The sequence below is a fragment of the Homo sapiens genome, chromosome 12 (genome assembly GCF_000001405.40).
Source record: "Homo sapiens chromosome 12, GRCh38.p14 Primary Assembly".
Taxonomy (NCBI): Eukaryota; Metazoa; Chordata; class Mammalia; order Primates; family Hominidae; genus Homo; species Homo sapiens.
The window spans coordinates 118,016,633-118,041,549 of NC_000012.12; the positions used below are offsets into that span (position 1 = coordinate 118,016,633).

A 24,917-nucleotide genomic window follows, 5' to 3' on the forward strand; every position below is an offset into this window, starting at 1 on the left:
AACCGACGCCCTAGCAACGCGAGGGGGCGGGACCGAGGGAGGAAGTCGGAAACTGGTGGCCGCGTCTCGCGAGAGTTGCTTTTGCGCGCGAACTGTAAGTGCCAGGGTCTCAGGGTCAGGTCGCGGCTGGTCACTGTGCAGGCGCTTGGGTGACGCGACGATCTCAGCGGATCTGGTCACCTTCGTCTCCCCGCCATGGAGACCTCAGCACTCAAGCAGCAGGAGCAGCCCGCGGCGACCAAGATCAGGAACCTGCCCTGGTAGGAGGAGGCCGAGCGGCGGCGGTGGGCAGAGGGGGCCAGGCGGCCGCGCGGGGAGGAGGTGGCTGGGGTGGCAGGTGACCGGACCCCAACCCGACCTCTTCCCGTCGTCTCCAGGCCTGCAGCCGGGACCGACCTGCAGAGGTTTCCCCCGACACCCCCCAGCTACCCAGACTCGTCCGTTCTGTTTAGGGCTTTTGCCAGTTCTCACCCTTTCACCCCCAGCTCCATTTGCCGAAGAAGAAGGCGGCTTTCGCACCTGGTGACAGCACAGGGGTTCGATCCCGCGTCTCCTGACGCCTGCAATGGCCTCCATGCCAAAATGCCCTCTTCCCACTCTTCAAAACCTGCGATGCGACTATTGGTCACATTTTAAACTAGTAATAACGCTCCCTGGTCAACTTTTATTGAATGGCATATTATTAGATTAGCAGACGCCCTGTTAGATGTTCGATCCTTACAAAGACCGTAGGAGGTAGGCACCGCTTCAAATTTTACACAGGAGGAAACTGCATTTTAGAAAGATGTAATGACTTCCCTATGGTCCAAGGGAGAAAATTGGCTTGGAGGTGAATCTAGGAAGTCTGAATTCAGATCTTGTACTCTTAACCATCCTACTTAAACAGCTATGTTCTCGCAATGCTTCCAAGACTTTGAAGCAATTTGGCTTGGCTTCGAAAAGCTGCAAGTTGTCATTGTCTAGTAACTAGTTCAATTTGTCTTTATTGTGGTTAAAAAAAACCCAGAAGATTGACAGTTGTAACTATTTTATGTATTTACGTATTTTTTTTTTTTAGAGACAGGGTCTCGCTCTGTCGCCCATGCTGGAGCGCAGTGGTGTGATCACAGCTCAGTGTAACCTCAAACATTGGGGTTCAAGCCATTCTCCTGCCTCAGCCTCCGAAGAACTGGGACTTTTAGAGGCGAGCTACCAAGCCCATCCTGTAACCATTTTAAAATGTACAATTCAGTGGCATTAAGTACATTCAGAATGCAGTGTACTGTTGTGGAGTCTTCCCGCTATCTAGTTCCAAAATTTCATCACCCCAAATGGAAATCCTTTACCCATTGACAGTTACTCCCCATTCTCCCCTTCCTCTAGCCCCTGGCAACCACTAATCTGCTTTCTATCTATGGATTTGCCTATTCTGGACATTTCATGTAAGTGGAATCCTACACTATGTGGCCTTTTGTGTCTGGTTTCTTTCACTCAGGATCATGTTTTCAAGGTTCATGCATGTTGCTGCTTGTATCAGTAGTTAATTTCTTGTTATGGCTGAATCATATTCCATTGTATGGACAGAAGAGATTTTACCTATCCATTCTTCTGTTGAAGTCTATTTGGGTAGGAGTTCAGTTTCAAATGCACTTTGCAATAGTAGGTGCCCATCAGGTTGAGATTATAGGCAAACAGCTGGAAAGATGAAGTTAGAACAGAGTTTTCAACCTCAGCACTATTGACATTTTGGGCCAGATACTCTGGGTGGGTTTAGGGGAGCTGTCCTGTGCACTGTAGCATGTTTAACAGCATTCCTGGAGACTACACACTGAGTGCCATAGGACCCTCTGCCCACCTGTGACAACTAAGTATGTTTCTAGATATCACTAGATGTTCCTAGGAAGACAAAATCACCTGTGGTTGGGAACCACTGGTCTGTTCAAACTTAAAGTGCTTTCTTATTCTTCCTTTTTAAATTAGGATATGAAAGGATTCTGTTTTTTTTTTTAAGACAAGGTCTCACTCTGTCGCCCAGGCTGGAGTGCTGGAGTGCAGTGGTGCAATCTCGGTTCACTGCAACCTCCGCCTCCCGGGTTCCAGCAATTCTCCCACCCCAGCCTTCGGGGTAGCTGGGGCTACAGGGGTATGCCACCATGCCCAGCTAATTTTTGTATTTTTTGGTATTTTTTATTGAATGGCATATTATCGGGTTAGCAGACACCCTGTTAGTTGTTCTATCCTTACAAAGACCCTAGGAGGTACCCATAGAGACAGGGTTTTGCCATGTTGGCCGGGCTGGTTGGTCTTGAACTCCTGACCCCAAATGATCCACCCACCTTGGCCTCCCAAAGTGCTGGGATTACAGGCATGAGCCACTGTGCCTGACCTGCAAGGATTCTTTTGCACATAAAATATTCTTGCATTTATATATGTCATAATACATACTAAATTGTATTTCAGGGTTGAAAAATACCGGCCACAGACCCTGAATGATCTCATTTCTCATCAGGACATTCTGAGTACCAGTAAGTATTCATGTGTCAGTTGCTCTTGTCCTGCTTGAGCGACTTGTATAAATTGCTTGGTGATGTTGTCTCTCCTAAGTAATAACTTCAAAGAATCTGATTGCGCTTTGTAGAATGTGGCTTTAAGATCATTCATTCATTTTCTTCAGGTTGCTACAGTCCAGTGGGTAAGTCACAAACATGAGCATAAAATTGCAACACAGTGGAGTAAAAATAGCATTACGGAGAATCATTTAAGTTCACAGATGTTGCCAGCACCCAGAAAGGTGCCTGTAACACAGTAGGCACTCAATAAATACTTGTTGACTGGCTGCGCTATTGAGTGAATTCCAGTTGTTCCACGAAAGTAGATATGAGGCCCCTACATCAAGTTGTATCTGCCTCTGATTTGGACATTGAATTGGGTTGAAGAGCTTTCAGCCCAACTCAGGAGCCCAGGGTGAATGAGGCAGCTCCCAAAGACTGATGGTGCCCTTCTTCCTTCCTGATCCTCAGTTCAGAAGTTTATCAATGAAGACCGACTGCCACACTTGCTTCTCTACGGTCCCCCAGGGACAGGCAAGACATCTACCATCCTAGCCTGTGCGAAACAGCTATATAAAGACAAAGAATTTGGCTCCATGGTCTTGGAGGTAAATAAGATTGTTCTTACTCTACAAATAACTTAAGAGACTCCAGTCTCTTAATTTCAGTTCTGCTGGTTTTATTTTACTTTAAAAGTAAGTTGCCCCACGGACAGTTAGGAAAGAAGTAAATTTGAATATTTTAATTCCCTTTTTCCTATAATGGTCATTTTGGTCTGGATTAGCGTTGGTCAGCTAGAGGGCAGTTGTAGGGTTTGGCACCTTTTTCTTTGCTCTTGCCAACTTCTCCCCAAACCTTACTTTATGGTGACTTGGTTGCTGCCTGTCTGCCATGGCCCCTCTAGATCAATTCTCCACGTTTCTCCACCATATTCCTGCCTGGAAGGCTGAGCCCTACTGACTATAAGCTCACTTACCCTCTGGCTCCTGGTTGGGTTTGGCCAATAGGGGCCTTGGCAGGGGTGGGGGAAGGAAGTGAGTGATGCCTGGGCCTTCCCTGGGGGCTGACACAGGCTGGCAGCATGGCCCACCTGTAGGGTACATCTCACAGGTGGTACCTTTCCTGCAGCCCTCTCCAGGTGCCTACAGCCACTCCCTTCACTAAGCCCTTCAGGCTCAAGGGTGACAGGTATTGCATAGCCCCATGGTTTTCCTATATCACACCTTTAAAAAGATCTTGTTTAATTCTCTTCAAATTGCTGCATTTGAGTATGCCATCTGTATATTGCTGGGACCTTGACTAATATACTTAGATTCAAAAATCTGAGTATTGTCTATTGCAAGAAAAGTTTAACTTACTTTTTAGACGCAGGTCTCAGAACTTTGCTGCTACTAATGTCCTTATTTCAGTTTATTAAGAACTTGGTAACTTAGGATTGTGGTAGCTGAAATTTGTATCATTCTGCTCATACCAGAGGTGCTGTTCAGTGTAACCATACCAATTAATTATTTCTCCAATTTATGTCAGTCATTGTCCTCAAAGGGTGGGGGTAATATAGCCATCTTTATTAATTTAGTGAATTTTGTGTAAAACTGATTTTTTATTTTATGATGATCTCTTAGCCATCATTAGACATAGAGAGCTAGCCTGCTGAGCTGGACTGATGAGGAAATACACTAACACCAAGAACTCACAGATAGCACAGCAACATGGTTTTTGTTTTGTCTTCTGTCTTCCACATTTAGCTGAATGCTTCAGATGACCGAGGAATAGACATCATTCGAGGACCGATCCTGAGCTTTGCTAGCACAAGGACAATATTTAAGTAAGAATTATTTGTGTAATTTCGCTCCCTTGATTTTGATTAGTAAGATGATATGGGTTAATTTTTTAATCCTCTCCTTAGCCAGTTTATATGGGTTGAAAAAAAAAGTGACTTTGTCCAAAGCAACCATGGAAAAGAGATAAACGAGAGGGATGGTAGTAAGAAGCGTTATAATGCAACTGTTAAAATAAAATGTTATCTACGCTTGTATTAGCAAGTTTGTTTTTTTTTTCTTTTTTTTTTGGAGACAGGGTCGCCCTGTATCGTACAGGCTGGAGTGCAGTAGCATGATCTCGGCTCACTGCAACCTCCACCTCCTGGGTTCAAGCGATCTTCCAGCCTCAGCCTCCTAAGTAGCTGGGACTACAGTCGTGAGCCATCACGCCCAACTAATTTTTGTATTTTTTAGTAGACATGGGGTTTTGCCATGTTGCCTAGGCTGGTCTCGAACTCCTGAGCTCAAGCAATCTGCCCGCCGCAGCCTCCCAAACTGCTGGGATTACATACGTGAGCCCAGCCTGCATTACCAAGTTCTTTAGGGAGCATTAACTTCATTTTTAGTTCCTGAGAACTGGCTAGATTACCCTAAGACTGGATGAGCTAGTTTGAATTTAAAAATAAATTGAGATCAGGAAGGACAACTAGGATGGTGGCTAAAAAAAAAAAAAGAAAGAAAGAAAAAGGGTGAGGGCCGGGCGCAGTGGCTCACACCTGTAATCCTAGGACTTTGGGAGGCCTAGGCAGGTGGATCACCTGAGATCAAGGGTTCAAGACCAGCATGGCCAACATAGTGAAACCTCGTCTCTACTAAAAATACAAAAATTATCTGGGCATGGTGGTGGGCGCCTGTAATCCCAGCCACTCAGGAGGCTGAGGCAGGAGAATCGCTTGAACCCAGGAGGCAGAGGTTGCAGCGAGCCAAGATCGCGGCACTGCACTCCAGCCTGGGCAACAGAGCAAAAACTTAGTCTCAAAAAAAGCAAAAGGGTGAGGGACTCAGGCATGAGTGAGGGAGACGGGAAAAGCAGTAGCATGGTAGGGTGCCATGTGGAGGAAAGTGAAGATGCCAGAGGACACAGCGCACAGAAGTAGAGAAGTCTCCTCCATTCCCACCAAGGGTTGAAGGAGTGATGCGGCATTTCCTCTCTGAGTGACCAAAGATGTCTGCCTTGGCCAAAGTTCTAGAAGAAATTGTCTTTCTGAGACAGGGCCCGATGGCACAATGGGAAGATATAGGTTTGAGCCCAGATGTTGAGATGAGATTGAAGAAATCTTTAGACAGCACCATTTGTTTTTCTAGGAAAGGCTTTAAGCTAGTGATCTTGGATGAAGCAGACGCCATGACTCAGGACGCCCAGAATGCCTTGAGAAGAGGTAAGCAGAGGCACTGTGGAGCGTTTGGGCTGGTGTGCACACTGGAAGGAGAATTAGGAACTTTGTGTTTGTTGCTGTTGTCATTGTTTTTTTAGGCGGGGGGGAGTTTTTTTTTCTTTTTTTGAGTCAGAGTCTTGCTCTGTCACCCAGGTTGGAGTGCAGTGGCGCAATCTTGGCTCACTGCAGCCTCTGCCTCCTGGGTTCAAGCGATTCTCTGACCTCAGCCTCTTGAGTAGCTGGGATTACAGGCATGCACCACCACACCCGGCTGATTTTTATATTTTTAGTAGAGATGGGGTTTCACCATGTTGGCCAGGCTGGTCTCGACCTCCTGACCTTGGGTGATCCGCCCGCCTCGGCTTCCCAAAGTGCTGGGATTACAGGAGAATTAGGAACTTTAAGCTTCCCAAAGTGCTGGGATTACAGGAGAATTAGGATGTGAGATATGGCTTGGCTTGTTTTCAGTTTTCATCTTCTGGCCCAGAGAAATCTCTATGCCTTTCTCTGTGTCTCCCATCTAATGACACAGGCTAGATACCTCTGTAGCGGGACTTCCCCTTCAGCAGCCTAGGGACTAAGCCCTGCGGGGACTTTTAAGTCTGGCCAGTCACTGGTGTTCAACCTCCTTTGACACTGGGTTCAATTTCAGAGTTGGGAATTCATATCTTTCCGTGGGATGGGGTGTGGAAAATCTTTCATCCTTAAGCTATCAGATAGTCCTTCTGCTAATAGTACCCTCTCCTTTCTACTAATGGTACCCTTTGAACCACAATGGCTAGGAAAAGCATATCTGAAGTTGAGGTGCTCAGAGAGCTGATATTACTTCACTGCTTGCCAAGTGAATGATTTGGCAGCGGGAGGGACAGCACCCTGCGATTTGTCTGTCTTCAGGGGCCTAGCGCAGTTCTTTTCTCTTAAAGGACACTTGTCATCTCTCATTAAGATTCCAAGTGAATCAGCTTTGAGAGAAGAACGATCTTTAGGAGTTTGTGGCGAGGGAGTAGATGGCAGCACATGTTAAGAGAAGGATGGGGGAAGGGGGAGGAGGAGGAGGGGGGAGGAGGGGAGGAAGAGGAGGGGGTGAGGAGGAGGAGGGGGAGGAGAAGGCGGAGGAGGAGGGTAGGGGGAGGTGGAGGAGGAGAGGTGGGGGAGGAGGAGGAGGAGGAGGACAGCGAGAATATCTTCTGGTCCTAGAAGCTTGGCAGCCTTTCTTCGGCATCTTGTTCTGCCGAGTGACTGTCATTCTGGGCAGATCCCCATGTGAGAACATTGGGTACCTACAGAATGGAACCGGTGTCATAAGCAACTCTTTGTTCGGGTTATTGCTCCCTTGAGTGCTCTAAGGCCTCCAGACAGTCTCCATGGAAAAGTCTGCAAAAAGCCGCCCTCCCTGCCCATAGAAGGTGAAGTGTCATCAACCTGCCAAATATAATTTTATGTAAAAGGACAAGAAGTCTCATAGTCTTAATGGGATTACATGGCAAAAGTGCCAGAATCATGGCAAATGGTAAAAAGGAAGCATTTTGTAAAATCCCACGGAGGCATGTTTACCAGTTTGTGAAAGAGGGGTGGCTAGGCAGGGCGCAGTGGCTCACACCTGTAATCCCAGTACTTTGGGAGGCTGAGGCAGGCATATCACCTGAGGTCAGGAGTTCGAGACCAGCCTGGCTAACCGATGAAACCCCATCTCTACTAAAAATACAAAAATTGGCCTGGCACAGTGGCTCATGCCTGTAATCCCAAAGGCCAAGGCGGGCGAATCATGAGGTCAGGAGATCGAGACCATCCTGGCTAACATGGTGAAACCCCGTCTCTACTAAAAATATAAAAAATTAGCCGGGCGTGGTGGCACGTGTCTGTAGTCCCAGCTACTCAGGAGGCTGAGGCAGGAGAATCGCTTTAATCCGGGAGGCAGAGGTTGCAGGGAGCCAAGATCGTGCCATTGCACTCCAGCCTGGGCAACAGAGCGAGACTCTGTTTCAAAAAAGAAAAAAGAGGAGTGGCTAATCTCTGATCTGAACAGGCCAGCACTGCCCTGTCTTGTCATAGGCTGCAGCCTCACTTGTTTACATTCTTTCTTTTTTGAGACAGAGTCTCACTCTGTTGCCCACGCTGGAGTGCAGTGGAATGATTTTGGGTCACTGCAACCTCCACCTCCCGGATTCAAGCAATTCTCCTGCCTCAGCCTCCCAAGTAGCTGGGATTACAGGCATGTGCCACCACACCTGGCTAAATTTTGTATTTTCAGTAGAGGTTTTGCCATGTTGGCCAAACCTCCTGACCTCAAGTGATCCTCCCGCCTCAGCCTCCCAAAGTGCTGGGATTACAGACGTGAGCCACTAAGCCACTACGCCCGGCCAACATCCTCACTTGTTTGCAGTATTGAATCTTTTCCTATACCCTTGTGACCACAGAAAAATTCAAGTTTTCTGGGCTCTCTGAAAAATCAGAATGGACTTTGACATGAGGTGGTTTTATTTTCTCTTACTAGTAATTGAGAAATTCACAGAAAATACCAGATTCTGCCTCATCTGTAACTATCTGTCAAAGATCATCCCTGCCTTGCAGTCCCGCTGCACGAGGTTTCGGTTCGGTCCCCTGACTCCTGAACTCATGGTTCCCCGCCTGGAACATGTCGTGGAAGAAGAGAAGTGAGTATTTTGCGGGCCTTTGGGGATGGAGTGTAGTAGAAACAGGCTTGTGGGATCACTGGCTGGTTCGTATGTAGAGGAGAGGAATGTTGGAAAACGACTTTGCAGAGTGCCTAGCACAGGGGAGGCACTGGGGACCGTCCACTGCTATCATTTTCTCTGCTGTCTCAAGGCCATTCCTCATAAAAGTCATTTGGTACTTCATTTTTCTTGATTCCATCCTCCTCCCCTGGAAGCTGTCCCAATTTCCTCCTACTCTTCTTTGTCATTGGAAACTGCAGGCTGCTGAGTCCCTTCTGCAAAGATGCTTCCAGCCTTTTTAGACTAGAAGGGAAGGTTCTAAGACATCACATTCTGTGTAGTCAGATGCCAAGCAAGTAGCCGACCTGAGCAGCTGCTTGTTGTGAAGGAGGAGTTTCGGCTGTGTGATCATGGCTTGTGCCAGGCCTCTGTCCTCCCCAGAGAGCAGAATTCAAGACGACTGGCTCCATGGGAGAATGCTTGTTCCTAAATTCAGGCTGTTCTCGATTTTGGTTGGCTGTGACTACTAATGTGAAGCCCAGGTCCCTAAAAACCAGAGTGAATTCTAGATCATATAGATCAGGAGATTATTAACTCTGTTCCTCTCCTTCCTTCATCCCTTTAAAGCCTTAATCATTCCAGGCCATCTTGTTCCTTTGGTGAATGCTGGTGCTCTCAGGGGGCCTCATAAATCCCTTTTGCTTATTTCTTTCAGAGTTGATATAAGTGAAGATGGAATGAAAGCACTAGTCACTCTTTCCAGTGGAGACATGCGTAGGGCTCTGAACATTTTGCAGGTATGGTCTCAAGCAAATCCTTTTTTTTTTTTTTTTTTGAGACAGAGTCTTGCTCTGTCGCTCAGGCTGGAGTGCAGCAACACAATCTCAGCTCACTGCAACCTCCGCCTCCTGGGTTCAAGCGAATCTCCTGCCTCCTGAGCAGCTGGGATTACAGGTGCCCGCCACCACGCCCTACTAATTTTTGTATTTTTAGTAGAGATGGGGTTTCGCCATGTTGGTTAGGCTGGTCTCGAACTCCTGACCTCAAATGATCCATCTGCCTCAGCTTCCTAAAGTGCTGGGATTACAGGCATGAGCCACCATGCCCAGCCTGGTCCCAGCAAATCCTGAGTCATTGTTTTGTAATAGTTTTTGAAGAAAGACCTAAGCAAAGGCATGATCAATCTGTAAATTTTGAAATCTACAGCTGGTAAGACCTTGGTCTCATAACCTGCAGGATTCCCCCTCCTCACTTTGTATTTTGATTAATTGAAAAAATCACTTGTTGCAGGCCAGGTATGGTGGCTCACGCCTGTAATCCCAGCACTTAGGGATGCCGAGGGAGGTGGATTGCCTGAGCCCACGAGCTGGAGACCAGCCTGGGCAACATAGTGAGACTCTGTCTCCACTAAAAAATCATGAGCCAGGTGTGGCGGTGCACACCTGTAGTCCCATCTACTCAGGAGGCTGAGGCAGGAGGGTGACTTGAGCCTAGGAGGTCGAGGCTACAGTGAGCCATGATCATGCCACTGCACTTCAGCCTGAGCAACAGAGCAAGACCCTGTCTCAAAAAACAAAGAGAGAGCAAAAGAAAATGTTTTAAAAACAAAAGGAATCATTTGTTGCAAAGAAGGCAAAGGGAGGGAAGGATTTGGCACTGGAATAGCCAACAGGCTGTGGCATCCTCTGATGAGGTGACTCTTCCGGTATTGAATATGTGGGTTCCCACTGCCTTGTGCCCATAGAACTTTGCTGCTCACCTGCATTGCTGCCTTGGCAATTTCTTCTTGGCTCCCTGCAGCTTGGTGGCAGCTGTGACAGCCACTGTGATCTCCCCTTTCCCCCTCTGTCTACACAGAGCACCAATATGGCCTTTGGGAAGGTGACAGAGGAGACTGTCTACACCTGCACCGGGCACCCGCTCAAGTCAGACATTGCCAACATCCTGGACTGGATGTTGAATCAAGATTTCACCACAGCCTACAGAAGTATCCTTTCTCATGACCTCCTGGCCACCGAGACCTGAAGGTGGCCCCAGGAGTTCAGGTTGCAGCCAGCACCCACACCTTGCTGGCAAAGGATGACTGGCTGCAGGCGACTCTGGTCAGCTTGTTGTGGGAGTGAGATGTCTGTAGGTGGAGTGGGTACTTGTCTTTAGCACTCCAGAGTTCTTCTTGGAGGGCTCTGACCTTCAAGTCAGGGTAAGGCTTGAAGCAGCTTCACTCACAGATGGGAGAAAAGCTTAGGCCTTGGCATTGAAGATGCAGGAATTTTCAAGTGGTCATGATAGTGATAGCTCTTGTGCTGTGAAATGAAAGGCTAGGAATGGTGACACAAAGCCTTTTTGGAAATGCATTTGGGGCTGGGTGTGGTGGCTCATGCCTATAATCCCAGCACTTTTGGAGGCTGAGGCGGTAGATCACTTGAGGTCAGGAGTTCAAGACCAGCCTGGCCAACATGGCGAAACCCCGTCTCTACTAAAAATACAAAAATTAGCCGGGCGTGGTGGTGGGTGCCTGTAGTTCCAGCTACTCGGGAGGCTGAGGCATGAGAATTGCTTGAACCCGGGAGGCAGAGGTTGCAGTGAGCCGAGGTCATGCCACTGTACTCTAGCCTGGGTGACAGAGGGAGATTCCATCTTAAAAAAAAAAAAAAAGAAAGAAAGAAAAAGAAAACGCAGTTGGCTTTATTCTCTACTAGAAGGAGTTACAACTCTATCTTTCAGAAAGCCCTTACTGAAGATGAAACAAAGAAAAATAAAGAATTGGAGTCCAACACGTGCAGCTTCAAGTTGAAAGAGAAACAGTTGTGTTGGGATTAAAAGCCTTACTTTAAAAAGTCTCTTGCCCGGGTTTGGATTCAAAATTCTCTGCAGTATGTTTGTTCTGGAACTTGTTCCCTTTGCCTTAACTGCTCCTCTAGATATTACAGAGTTGAAAACTCTGAAGGGGTTGGCACTGCATGATATCCTGACAGAGATACACTTGTTTGTGCATAGAGGTAACTTACATTATCCCCCAGCTGAGAAGCTGTGGAGAAGGTAGCCTGCTTTGGGGTTAAGGATGGTTAGGACAGGAGGCTTCATTCTTGAAGCAAAGAAACTAATGAATTGTAAATCAGACCCTTCTTGTTAGCAGTTCTGTCTTGCCACTGTTTAAAATTTTGTTCCAGAGCTGGGTACGGTGGCTCAAGCCTGTAATCCTAGCACTTTGGGAGGCCAAAGCAGGCAGATCACCTGAGGTCAGGAGTTGAAGACCAGCCTGGGCAACATGGTGAAACCCCGTCTCTACTAAAAATACAAAAAATTAGCCTGGCATGGTGGCGCACGCCTGTAATCCCAGCTACGTGGGAGGCTGAGGTGGGAGAATCATTTGAACCTGGGAGGTGGAGGTTGCAGTGAGCCAAGATTTGCCACTGCACTCCAGCCTGGGCGACAGAGCTAGAGTTTGTCTCAAAAAAAAAAACAAAACAAAACACAAAAAACGTGTTCCATAAACCCTCTTTTAATATCTAGAACTGCTGGGGAAAGTGAAAACTCCTGGAGGCTAACTTTATTTCCTCTAGGGGTTTATATTTTATAGCAGTAAGTAGTATATATTAATTCACATTTCTAAAAAAAAAAAAAAAGTCTGTCTATCTATCTGTCTATCTAGATATATATTCCCAGAAAAGAAAGAGAAGATATGTAAACCATGTAAACCAAAGCAGGCTTAAGGAAAACATCTTAAGTTCCACACTTGCCTGTACCTTCTACACAGAGAATTGGTTCTCAACCTTGGCAGCAGATAGGGGCACTCCAGACAAATTAAGTCAGCTTCTCGGAGGACAACCAGGCATCCGTATTCTCTAAGCTCCCCAGGTGACTTGTGTAGGCTTTCGGAGAAGCTCTTCCTTCCACAGTGGCCAACTGCAAGATGGAGACTTAACCGGGTCAATGAATGTTGGTTCTGCCCAGGCCTTCACAGGCCTCTTCCTGGCTGGCCCATGCCATGCCTTCTGCCCAAGGTATGGTTGGCTCAGGCCCAGCTCTGCACCTTGATTGTGGAAGCTGAGCATAAACCAACTTTAAAAAATCAGTTGTTTGTGCTTGGTTTTTAAATGGGGACAGGATCGGTATAGTGGCTGACGCCTGTAATCCCAACACTTTGGGAAGTCAAAATGGGTGGATCACTTGAGCCCAGGAGTTTGAGACCAGCCTGGGCAACACGGTGAAACCGCATCTCTACAAAAAGTACAAAACAGCCAGGCAAGGTGGCGCACACCTGTAGCCCCAGTTACTCAAGGGTCTTGAGGTGGAAGATCCCTCAAGCCCAAGAGGTCAAGGCTGCAGTGAGTCATGATCACGCCATGCCATGGCACTCCAGCCTGGGCAAGACAGTGAGACCCCGTCTCAAAATAAAGTAAAATATAAAATAAAAACAGCAAGTGGGAACTCAGCATTCAAGTTAACTTGTAGAGCTACCCAGCTGCTAAGAGCAGTGTGATCTTTGGTGCTCTTAGGATCACTTTGGTATCTGCTCATTTTCCTTTTTGTCTACCCTATAAAGCACAAAATCGAGTGGGTAAAAAGTATGAAACCAGCACTGTTTCTACTTTCTTAGAGGTCTGGTATCTAGTGAGCAGGCTGAGGCCTCAGGACTAGTTCAGTGTTAAGGATTTCATGTTGAAACTCATTTGTCCTCTGTGGGTTTTTTGACAGTAGAGAGTGACCTAACTCATTTGATTTTGTTTTTCCCTCAGTTGACTTTCCATCTTCAGTTCGAATACATTTATTGACCAAAATGGCAGACATTGAGTGAGTACTTCTTGCCCCAGTTTTAATTCTTTTCTTCCTTTTTTCCCCTGTTGTGAGTTATTTGTTTCAACTTTCTTGGTTTCAGGTTTTTTTCCTAAATCGTTCACATACGGTACAATCTAGTCTGGTGATATTGAATGGAATGTGGGGAAGGGTGTGAGCTGCTTAAAGAACATGGGGATAAATTCACAGGTCAAGTACAGATCAGTTACATATCTGAGATGAAGGCCTCTCCTTGGACCTCACAGGCTCGGCCCACATTGATTCTGAAAATGCCCTTGTTATTTGGGAGGCCTGCTTTGCTTCAACCACCCAGCTGTTATTAAGGCATTTTGGCATACTAAAGCATATTGGGGGGAAAAGTAAACACAAACTCAATTTTCTGCTTTGCCTGGTTCCGTAAACACTGTTATTAGCCCCCAGTGAAGCTGGCAGCTATCATTTAAGTAGACAGAGCATTGGGTTCAACATAGACGTCAGCATAGGCCAACTCTAATTTGTGGCATTGGCTTTCACAGGCACAAATTAGGTCACCTCTCCTCATTGCATTGTGAATATGATGATTTTGCTATCAGTGGCTGGGCATTTAAAAGGTGGCGAGATGAACTCCAGTGTCCTGCTTTACTGACTAGACCACAGACCCACCAATGTATCAGCCAAACTTCCCGATGAAATGGCTTAAGAGGAAGGAAATCTCTGTTTTGTTTCCCTCTTAACGTATTTTGCCGACGAAATAATCCTTCATTACATAAATTTTGTATATCTGTATAGTTAGGACAAAGTTAAGTTCAGAACACCGCTGTTGACACCTAATAATTTATTTCTTTTTTTGAGACAGAGTCCCACTCTGTCGCCCAGGCTGGAGTGCAGTGATGCAGTCTCGGCTCACTGCAACCTCTGCCTCCCAGGTTCAAGCGATTCACCTGCCTCAGCCTCCTGAGGAGCTGGGATTACAGGCATGCACTACCATGCCCAGCTAATTTTTGTTTTTTGTTTGTTTGTTTTGTAGAGACGGGGGTTTCACCATGTTGGCCAGGCTGGCCTCCAGTGATTGGCCCGCCTCCCAAAGTGCTGGGATTACAGGTGTGAACCACCACGCCCGGCCTGATACCTAATAATTTTTAAAATTGAATCGGTCCTTACAAGTTTGAAACATCACATTTATAAATCAATGTGTAGGGCAGAGAAGAAAATGTTAGGGGGACACATACAAGATTGCCATCCAGGGCACATTTGTTCTATCAATTCCCATCCCCACTCCTTCAACAGATTTTCAGCCCTAGATCTCTTGGTCCCTTAAGAAAAGGCAGCTGTGTTTGGTGTCTTTTTTCTTACCCTGTGTTTGGTTTCTGTTAGGTACAGGCTTTCTGTTGGCACCAACGAGAAGATCCAGCTGAGCTCCCTCATTGCTGCATTTCAAGTCACCAGAGACCTGATTGTTGCAGAGGCCTAGATGCTCTGAGGGCCATTCACAATTCTCAGGGCTCAGCAGTGATGGGAGAACAGAGGACAGTTCCAGGATAAACTGCTGCCTGGGGCTGTGGGATGAATCAGTCACCCCGAATCTTGGAAAAACCCCCTTCCAGGAGAGGATGGGCAGGCATTTAAAAAGTACCATTTTTGTGGTTGTTTGGAGCAGGGATGTACAAAATAATTTTAATGTATTAACTCATACTGCCTGTCTTTTATAGGGGAAAAAAATAACCTTTTTTATTTTAAAGTTATAAGGTTTTTACCTTTTAGTTGCTTGGATGACAGGGAATTAGCCTACCCCATTTTGGTCTGGAACAGAAGACTTTCAAATTTAATATGGTCCAAGTGTCTTCCTACTCAAGGTAAACATTATCTCCAAAATTACATTTATGATTCTAATATTTGGCATTGTGTCTGTATCTAATTTAAACAGATGTTAATGGACGTCTGGCCGAAACTATTATACTTTTATAAGATGAGCTGAATCCTCTTACTTTAAAAACTGGTCTTTTTATTTACCCTCTGTGGTAGAAGAGTCACCAGCAGGTTCCAAATTGATGTGTATGATAGGAAAAAAACCTTAATTTTAAATATAATATAGAGCCTTAAACTATGCCACTGGGTGGCAGAGGCTGTATAAAACGCACTTGTTTTCATGCAGGAGCGGGGCAAGTAAGGTTGAGCCTGACTGTAAACCTAGAACTGCGGAAGGACTGGGACTTTTGTACAAATTTCACATTTATTTTACAGCAATCATGCTGCATTTGTGTTAGTGTTCTTTATAATAAAAAACAAAGCAGCCTCCTGGCTGGCTGTGTTACAAGTGACTCTTCCTTAGACAGCTAGAAAGATGCTGACTTTGTCAAACTTGCATTTATATGAAAACCTTCTGTCTCTAATATCACAGAATAAACTTTCTTTAGATGCTGTTCTTTATAAAATGTCAAATTCTTAAACTGTCAAATGGAAAAAGTCACTATTCCCTTTGTTCATGGAGGACTCACCCCCTTAAGGACAGCGGCAAAGTATGAAGCTAAATATCTGATGGCCAACCAGGCCTCAAACCACCCAGAGGCTCAGCATCTGCTGTACCTGGAACTTCAAGATAACCATGAAATGTAAACGTTGGCCAATCCATTCCCAGCTCTTCTGCTGTACTACTTGTTTTATGTGTTTATTTTTTGAGGCAAGATCATGCTCTGTCAGTCACCCAGGCTGGAATACCGTGACACGATCGTGGCTCGCTACAGCCTCCATGTCCCAGGCTCGAGCAGTTCTCCCACCTCAGCCTCCTGAGTAGCCGGAACCACAGAACCACAGGTAAATGCCACCACATCCTCAGCCCCCTGAGTAGCTGGGGCTACCATGCACACCAGCACCACACTAAGTTTTTTTGGCTATTTATTTATTTATTTTTTAAATAAAGATTGGGTCTTATCTCACTCTGTTGCCCAGGCTGATCTTGAACTCCTGGGCTCAAGCAGTCCTCCCACCTCAGCCTCCCAAAGTGCTGGGATTACAGGCATGTGCCGTCACACCCAGCCCTGCTTGTTTTAAAAGGGGACTTTTTTTTTTCTTAATGGAAAAAAATGAAACAGAGAGCCAAAAGCTTTTAACTGTTGTTTTTTTCTTTTCTTCAATGAAAGCCTCTCATTTTGAAAAGACATGTTTTTCTTCAAGCAACAAAGGTGGTAGAGGAAATTCCTCAACTTTCTCAACGAGTCATGTAACGTTACACTGGCCTCCATAAAGCACCGATTAAGAAAGCTAAAGAATAAGATGTTGTATTTCTTTTAAAATAATTTAAAATATATTAAATTTTCCTAAGGCAGGTTTTGTTTGAATGAGGTGTCTTGATTAGATAACTACATGCCACTGAAGGAGAACAGTACTTTTAAGGAGCTATTTTTGTTTCGCAGTAGAGTTGAAACCAGCTGATTAATCCAATGAAGTTAAACAGCAGAGACAGATCTCGTACATAAGAGTATCAGCTAAAGTCATGACTACACCAATTCTTTACACAATTAAGACATCTTTGCAACTGTTCAATTTAAGTACTATGGTTTTTAGATAATCGAGAAAAACACAGTTGTACCTTAACATCTGTTGAGAAAATACAAATAAATATGATGCTAATAAATGGCCACTGATAACTCAGTAGCCATCTGAATAGTCATGCGGTTTAAGAATACATCCTTGTATAATCTGACATACAAATTTGTCATTTCCTGCACATGCACACCATTGTTAAAAAAAAAAAAAAAAAGCCAGTAATAGTGTCTGGATCGGTCAGGAGCACGGCCTCTGAGTCCCCTGTAATTTAGTTAAGCTAAATTAATACCTCATACCAAATGGCTCCAGGAAAACTGTCCTGCAGGTCAGAAGGGAGCCCAAGAAGAAAAGCACTTGGCCAACATCGAAGCAACTCTGACCACAGCAGGAGAGAACTTGAACCAATGCTACCACTGCATCAGAAACACAAGGATAGGTACTAGGCAGAAGCCATCGTTCCCAGCGGAGGGAGTGTGAGCTGCTCTGCCACTAGAGAGGCTCTGGAGGCCTACTTAGTTGCATAATCAAAACAACATCAGTAACTGCACTTTGAATCAAAACAAGCAGAAAGAGTTCAACACTTGCTGTTCATAACTGGACTGAAAATTTAACGTAAGGCTCTGTTGCCGTGCAAGTGGAATCTCTTCCTCTAAGACTGACTTTCACATGCCAGGGAGAGAAAGATCCATGACTAGTACACTGGAATCTGGTTTTGCTACATTCTATTCACAATCCCAAAGAAATGCTATTTCAATGCAAGACCAGATGTTTGGCCCATTATTCCAGCAACTCCCTTTGACAGGACGATTTACCCTGCTACAAAGAAGCACAAGATGTGGTGTTGCTTAAAAAGTCCTGTATGTGAGGAACTCTTTCATTTTCTTGGGGATTGGCAGTGCTAGGACTTGGTAAGTTGTTAGGAAACTTCGAAGGGCTTTCCGGCATAAGTGCTTCAGTGAGGACAGGACCCTAGGAGCTGTCCAGAACTGGACGTGGCCATCTCTTGTCCTAAAATGAAACAGAAACCGATGCTAAGACAGAGCTTGGATGTTCATGTTTTCATGAGGATGAATACTCATGTTTCTGTTTTGACTGCAAAGAGCAGGAGACTTCGGAGAGTGAAATGTAACCCTGACTGTGGAAATGGATGTAAAATTGTGGTGCTGAATAATTAAAGCTGCTGATAGGATTAGAAAAACTCAAGACACCTGTGATACCAAAGCGCTCTCTCTGTCTCTCTCTCGGCACAGCCCTTTCTAAATCTGACCACAGTTAGTTCAAAAGTATAAGGGGGAAGAGTGCCACCTACTGAATTATAGATGTTACCTGTAAAGTGGTCTTTTAGCCCTAAATGGTTTCCCATATATTATGCATCATCTCAATTTTATTCTCCCTTGTGAACTTGGCCCATTAGGTGGCATGACTTACAGATCTTTAATTACATTTAGGTTAAATATTCAGAGAAAATGGGACACCGTTATTAGCAAAATCGATCATTTGAGTTTTATATAATCTTGAATTGCCTTAAAGCTTTCCTCATAGGCAAGAAAATTCTAGATGGTTTCTTTCCTTAAAAAGCTCCATGGTATACTCAGCAGAAAGCACCACCCATCTGTTCAGCTAACAAATACATACCCTGTGGCAATGACTCCACCATGTGGAAAAAATGTGCAGCAAAGCCCATTGGTCATAGGAGCAAATGCAATGGGAGTTTTCAGTTCCAGGGCCCAGATCCTGAGGAGTCTGGATGGGGAGAGAGAACATCTGGATATTAGCTGACCCAGGGCCAGACCAAGAGGGCCTTGCTGCCATTACTTGCAAGCACTTGTTCTGAGGCCATGTAAAGAGAGTTCTCTTCGTTACCTGTCATCTGCCACCGTGGCAAGGTACAAGCCTTCTGGAGAGAAGCACACAGATCTCAGTGAGCTAATGTGGACGTCACTGTCATCCATGGCGGGGTCAACCTGGGTGTGGCTGGGAAGGAAAGAAACAGGATGGCAGGCCTGGAGTGATGGCTGCTCTCCACCCTCCATCATCACCCTAGGCAGGAAGCCAAACTGCCCTGGCTACAAAAGGGCTCAAGATGCATTGTGTGCCCCTCGTGGAAAAGCTTGGGATTTGCACACTGGGAAAAAAAAGGGTATCTCAGAAGGCTCCAGGTGTCCTGTGGATGAAGGGTTACTAACACTTCCTTGTGCTAATTTGCTTATGCAAAGTAGGTCAGCCCTCACTTTAATGCCACAGTAGAAACTGCAAGTCTTTTTTAGGCTAAGATACATGATAATTATAGGACTGCCTATTATTTGCTTCATAAAACAACAGACACAAAAGGAAAAAGGAGACCAAGTTTGTGAGAACATGAAACTCATTTTGGAAAGCACAGTTTCGATAAGAGGCTCTTTCTGAACTTGTTACTACAGTTATTAGTAAATGGAAATAAAGAGTCATATTGAGGCTTCATAATGCTGATTCCGAAGAAGTACACACAGCCACCTGAATCAGGAGACTGGAAGACACTCAAAGCTACTTGAGAGGGCTTAATTGACAAGGCATCACTAAGAAGCAATGAACCAGGCCAGGCGCAGTGGCTCATGCCTATAATAGCAGTTTGGGAGACTGAGGCGGTGGATCACCTGAGGTCAGGAGTTTGAGACTAGCCTGGCCAACATGGTGAAACCCCATCTCTAATAAAAATACAAAAATTAGCCAGGCCTGGTGGCGCACGCTTGTAGTCCTAGCTACTCGGGAGGCTCAGGCAGCAGAATCGCTTGAACCCGGGAGGTGGAGGTTGCAGTGATCCAAGATTGCGCCACTGCACTCCAGCCTGGGTGACAGAGCGAGACTCCGTCTCAAAAGAGACCCACTGTGCCTTTTTATCCAGCTTGTCCCCTCCCATGTCCCAGATTCTAAAAGAGACATGTCTAATCCCAGGCAGGTTCCTCATCAGTCCCCCCACAAAAAAGTCATAGCAGGGATTCAGTCCTTACTGGAGTGACCTCAGCCTTTCGCCGGTGTAGGGGTCCCACATAATCACATTGGTATCGTAAGAAGCCGTGACAAGCAGGGCAGAGTCGGGGGAGAAGTCACAAGAGACAACACTGCTTTGATGGCCCTCTAGCTTCCGAATTAACGTGTAGGACCTCATGCTCCATAGAAAGACCTGTGGAAAGTAAGAAGTGCCTGGTTAGGGCAGAAGCAAAGTGCTTAGGACTCAAACGGAGGGAGGGAAAGGTACCACCACCAAATCTGCAGGCCCTGCAGCCAGGGCTGATTCTCTATCCCTTTTCTACAGCTCTTCCAGAACGTGTGGTGTAGGTTTAAATAAGGCAACTGGTCTGGATTCTTGAGGATTTAAAACAATGGGCATGCTCAAGGAGCTCACTATAAGAGAGAATAAACCAGATCAGCCTTAGGAAGACCCCTGCTGAAACGCATGTGCAGAGACTTCTGAGTCTGCTTCTGAGTCCTGTTTGCCAATAGGGTAGTCGTATGTGCTGATGAAGACCTGAGCCAAGTGCTATCTTATTCCACTTAAAAATAAATGTCAGCGGCCAGGCACGATGGCTCATGCCTGTAATCTCAGCACTTTGGGTGGCTGAGGTGGGTGGATCACATGAGGCCAGGAGTTCAAGACCAGCTTGGTCAACATGGCAAAACCCCATCTCTACTGAAAATACAAAAATTAGCCAGGCATGGTGGTGCACGCCTGTAAGCCCAGCTATTTGGGAGGTTGAGGCAGAAGAATCACTTGAGCCTGGTAGGTGGAGGTTGCAGTGACCTGAGATCACGTCACTGCACTCCAGCTTGGGCGAAAGAGTAAGACTGTCTCAAATTTTTTTTAAAGGGTCAGAAGTGAAATCTGCGGCCACCCCACAAAGTAGTGGCAGGCTGCCAAGGCATTTTACACCCCCCACCTTGTGTATGGAACCATGGAAATCTGTCCCAAGACTGGGCCTCTGACCTAGCTCATCACTTTAAACCTTTGTGAGAAGCATTAAGAGGATTTTATTTTTATTCCTTTAAGAAAACCCTCAGGCCAGGCGCGGTGGCTCACGCCTGCAATCCCAGCACTTTGGGAGGCCCAGGCGGGCGGATCACCTGAGGTCAGGAGTTCAAGACCAGCCTGGCTAATATGGTGAAACCTCATTTCTACTAAAAATACAAAAAATTAGCCAGGCGTGGTGTAGCACGCCTATAATCCCAGCTACTCGGGAGGCTGAGGCAGGAGAATCGCTTGAACCCGGGAAGCGGAGGTTGCAGTAAGCCGAGATTGCGTCATTGCACTCCAGCTTGGGCAACAACAGCGAAACTCTGTCTAAAAAAAAAAAAAAAGAAAAGAAAAGAAAAGAAAACCCTCCAAACCACAAAAATAAATGATGAACCACCTGGGCTGTACCAAATGGTGAACTCTCAACCTTCCCTTCAGTCACAGCAAGTGACTCAACGCAACACAAAATTCAAACAGAACTGTTCTCAAATTGTTCTTGGATTTCTAATACCTGTTTGTTTTTTCAATTAACAGGATTTCAGGACAAAGTTCAACAAGTAACTGCACTGACATGATTTGAATGGGAAATCCGAATTAGAGGGATTCAAATTTGATGGTTCAAAGGAAATTTGGATTCACATGTGGGCTGCAACTTTTAAAATCTTAGACTCCAAGAAGAAAAGAAATTTAAAAAGCAATTGTTTTCCCATTTTATAAAGGGAAACAGCCCTCTGATGACAGGAGCAACCTGTTTCCAAATCCCTCCTGTCTTTGGGTTCGTGTTAAAGTGCAAGTCACAAGGGACTTTTGCAGGTGGTGGCCATGGCCCACCAGCATGCCTTCTATTGGGGTGGATTTGCGGACGATTTTGAGAACACTCACACACACCAGGCCACCACTTCAGACCTCCATGTCTCAGTGAATTAAAGCAATAACGCTGGAGACTCACCGACTTCTCTCCAGCTGCAGAGCACAGCATGCTGCAGTCTGGGGAGATGGAACAGCAGTAAACCCACTGCAGGTGGCCCGATAACACTTGAATCTGTTTACCTGGCAGGAAAAAGAAGCAAACAATGAGCCAGTCCTCAACAAAGCAGGAAGACTGGAGAACGGGAGAACTGGGGTGGTAACAGCCCCCAGCCCAGTATACCCATCAGCTCCTATCAGCTGGGCCCAAGGGTCCAATTTTTAATTCAGAGTAAGAAATATGACCAGATTTGTCATTTAAACACCTGTAATCTATGAATATGATATTCTAATTCCCCACGGAAACCAGTACCTATGGCTTCAACACAATCTATAAGATCAGTAAGGGTGAAGGGGTACATTGATCACTTTTTTGTTGTTTGTTTCTGAGATGGAGTCTTGCTCTTGCTCTGTCTCCCAGACTAGAATACAGTGGCGCGATCTCAGCTCACTGCAACCTCTGCCTCCCAAGTTGAAGCGATTCTCCTGCCTCAGCCTCCTGAGTAGCTGGGATTACAGGGATGTGCCACTGCGCCCAGCTCATTTTTGTACTTTTAGTAGAGACAGGGTTTCACCATATTGGCCAGGCTGGTCTCGGACACCTGACCTCAGGTGCTGATCACTTTTTTTATATAATCTTGAATTGCATTAAAGGTTTCCTCATAGGAAACCATATCAAAGGGACCTTTGATAGCAGAGAATGTTCTTTTTAGGCTCCCCAACCACCTCAAGTACCCTGAAGCATCATTCCCAATTTTAAGAGAGTGTTTATCTTCATTTAAACTCTGTAATGGTTTCTCTGTAATCACAAGGATCCTGCTCCAGACTGTCACCCTCCCAGCCTTGCCAGGATGTCCAGATGAGCAGTGGTGTGGAGTCACTAGGGGCACACATTCTAGAGTCAGACAGCTTGGGTTTGAATCCTGACTCCCCTGCTAATTCAGCAGATAACCCAGGGTGTCTCACACAATCTCTCCAGCTCTTGCTTTAAAAATAAAAAAGCCCGTCCATATAGAGGATGGGTGAATAAATGGTGGTATATCTACCCCATTAATGCAGTTGGAATTAGAGAGAGATTTTCCATGGGGTACCTACAGTTTAATGAAAAATGCGAGATGCAGGGAAAAATCGTGAAGATGTATGATTCCATTTTTGTCAAACAATGACCCAAAAGCCATGAATGCAAACGTGTGTGCACAGGATTATACAAGTAGACAGAAAAATATGGAAGGGTATATACTCCTAACACAGGGTACCAGGATGCAGGGGAAGAAGGGAGGATGGCAACAGCAGGGAGGGCAAGAGAGAGAATTGGGAAGGAAAGAGCCAAGCAAGAAAGAAGAAAAAATAATTGTTATACGCCTGTACATGGTCATATATATGAATTTATTTAAGTTTATGCGGATGTATGGATCCACAAAAATTAATATTTCTTTTTTATTTTTTTTTATTTTTTTGAGACAGAGTCTTGTTCTGTTGCCTAGGTGGGAGTGCAATGGCATGATCCCGGCTCACTGCAACCTCTGCCTCCTGGGTTCAAGCGATTCTCCTGCCTCAGCCTCCCGAGTAGCTGGGATTACAGGTATCTGCCACCATGCCCTGCTAATTTTTACATATTTTTAGTAGAGCCGGAGTTTCACCATGTTGGCTAGGCTGGTCTCGAACTCCTGACCTCGAGTGATCCGCCCGCCTTGGCCTCCCAAAGTGCTTTAATTAATATTTTTAAAAAGTTAGTCATGGTGCCTGTAGTCCCAGCTACTCCAGAGACTGAGGCAGGAGGATCACTGGAGCCCAGGAGGCAGAGGCTACAATAAGCCGAGATCGCAGCATTGCACTCCAGCCCATGCAACACAGTGAGACTCTGTCTCAAAAAATAAAGGTCAATCATGGTTTCTTCAGCTGTCAAATCTCAGGGTGCTGGGAGTACTGAATAAATTAAGGCATGTTAGGTCAGTGGGGCAGCGCCTGTCAGCTGGGAACCAACTTTATTCCCCTCCTCTCCTTGAAAAGCTCTCATAATTGGCCTACTCCATCCCGCCCACTCTTGGTCACTCTCACTTGGTCTTTCCTTCCAAGTCATCAAGTGATTTCCAGAGCCACTGCATGGACCTTCCTGAGATGGTGGCAAGCTGCCTCAGTACACACATTAAGCCAGCATTTAAAAAGGCACTGCCAGCCGAGCGTGGTACCTCATACCTGTAATCCCAGCACTTTGGGAGGCCGAGGTGGGCAGATCCCTTCAGGTCAGGAGTGCAAGACCAGCCTGACCTTCATGGCAAAACCCCGTCTCTACTAAAAATACGAAAATTAGCCAGGCATGGTGGCACACACCTGGAGGAGGCTCTGTCTCAAAAAAAAAAAAAAAAGAGGCACTGCCTTGGAGAAGCTGTCCTGATCAGCAGCACATCTTAGACTGTGGGATTACAGGTTCCACAGTACTGGGCAGAAACCACCTAGAGTAGGCCAGGCGCAGTGGCTCACGCCTGTAATCCCAGCACTTTAGGAAGCCCAGGTAGGCAGATCACTTGAGGTCAGGAGTTTGAGACCAGCCTGGCCAACGTGGTGAAACCCTGTCTCTACTAAAAATACAAAACATTAGCCAGGTATGGTGGCTTACGCCTGTAGTCCCAGCTACTTGGGAGGCTGAGACACAAGAATGACTTGAACCTGGGAGGCGGAGGTTGCAGTGAGCTGAGATCGTGCCACTGCACTCCAGCCTGGGTGACACAGTGAGACTCCGTCTCAAGAAAAAACAAACAAACCAAAAAAACACCTAGAGTTATCTTGGTGATCAGATGCCTTCAGATGAGGATGCATGTGCACTGCCTTAGTTTGTCTGACAAGTTGCTATGGACTAAATGTGCCCCCCACACATAAAGCCCTAATCCCCAATGTGATGGTATTAGGAGGCGGGGCTTTTGAGAAGTCAATAGGTCATGAGGGTGAAGCCTCAGGAATGGGATTAGTGCCCTTAGAAGAAGAGACATGAAAGAGAGAGATCCCTGCCAGATGAGGATGCAGAGAGAAGGTGGCTGTTTACAAGCCAGGCAGCAGGTGCTCACAGACACCAAAACTACTAGCACTTCGCTCACGGACTCCCCAACCTTCAGAACTGTGAGAAATAAATGTCTGTTGTTTAAGCCACCCAGTCTCTGGCATTGACTAAGATACAAGTTTTCAGGCTCATTGCTAAAAGAGCAGGAGAAAGGTCCCTCCCATGGCTGTGTGGAGCTGGACAGTCATAG

The 24,917-nt window shown here is 45.9% G+C and overlaps 2 protein-coding genes across 13 annotated transcripts in view, besides 3 other annotated features; one reads left to right on the forward strand and one right to left on the reverse strand.

Moving 5' to 3' along the window:
- Nucleotides 71-24,816, forward strand: RFC5 (replication factor C subunit 5). 10 transcript variants are annotated; one of them, XR_007063112.1, is made up of 13 exons: nucleotides 71-260; nucleotides 2,440-2,504; nucleotides 3,000-3,136; nucleotides 4,274-4,353; nucleotides 5,654-5,727; nucleotides 8,219-8,378; nucleotides 9,115-9,196; nucleotides 10,257-10,386; nucleotides 11,321-11,398; nucleotides 13,139-13,193; nucleotides 14,550-15,028; nucleotides 15,853-15,986; nucleotides 21,241-24,816. XR_007063112.1 is itself a non-coding variant. In NM_181578.5 (12 exons), coding segments are annotated over exons 2-12 (960 nt in total). In that variant the 5' UTR covers nucleotides 71-260; nucleotides 1,058-1,419; the 3' UTR covers nucleotides 14,647-15,602. The 10 variants fall into 10 exon arrangements, 6 of the variants coding, with proteins under 6 accessions (NP_853556.2, NP_001123584.1, NP_001333744.1 ...); XR_007063111.1 differs by lacking the exon at nucleotides 21,241-24,816 and adding an exon at nucleotides 16,313-17,916; XR_007063113.1 differs by lacking the exons at nucleotides 71-260; nucleotides 21,241-24,816 and adding exons at nucleotides 1,363-1,421; nucleotides 16,313-17,916.
- Nucleotides 313-362: a silencer, noted in NCBI's record as "silent region_4920". NCBI's record gives its function as "represses an Ori minimal core promoter by ATAC-STARR-seq in GM12878 lymphoblastoid cells {active_cell/tissue: GM12878}" and the evidence as "EXISTENCE:reporter gene assay evidence [ECO:0000049][PMID:35858748]".
- Nucleotides 16,055-24,917, reverse strand: part of WSB2 (WD repeat and SOCS box containing 2) — a 29,488-nt gene continuing 20,625 nt past the window's right edge. For all 3 annotated transcript variants that reach the window (NM_001278557.1, NM_001278558.2, NM_018639.5), the window contains 5 exons: nucleotides 21,656-21,756; nucleotides 19,706-19,878; nucleotides 18,582-18,692; nucleotides 18,354-18,461; nucleotides 16,055-17,726 (listed from right to left, as the gene is read on the reverse strand). In NM_001278557.1, the coding sequence (NP_001265486.1) occupies nucleotides 17,564-17,726; nucleotides 18,354-18,461; nucleotides 18,582-18,692; nucleotides 19,706-19,878; nucleotides 21,656-21,756 (656 nt within the window). In that variant the 3' untranslated portion in view covers nucleotides 16,055-17,563. The remainder of the gene's footprint in view (nucleotides 17,727-18,353; nucleotides 18,462-18,581; nucleotides 18,693-19,705; nucleotides 19,879-21,655; nucleotides 21,757-24,917) is intronic.
- Nucleotides 18,981-19,040: an enhancer, noted in NCBI's record as "active region_7105". NCBI's record gives its function as "activates an Ori minimal core promoter by ATAC-STARR-seq in GM12878 lymphoblastoid cells {active_cell/tissue: GM12878}" and the evidence as "EXISTENCE:reporter gene assay evidence [ECO:0000049][PMID:35858748]".
- Nucleotides 19,051-19,100: an enhancer, noted in NCBI's record as "active region_7106". NCBI's record gives its function as "activates an Ori minimal core promoter by ATAC-STARR-seq in GM12878 lymphoblastoid cells {active_cell/tissue: GM12878}" and the evidence as "EXISTENCE:reporter gene assay evidence [ECO:0000049][PMID:35858748]".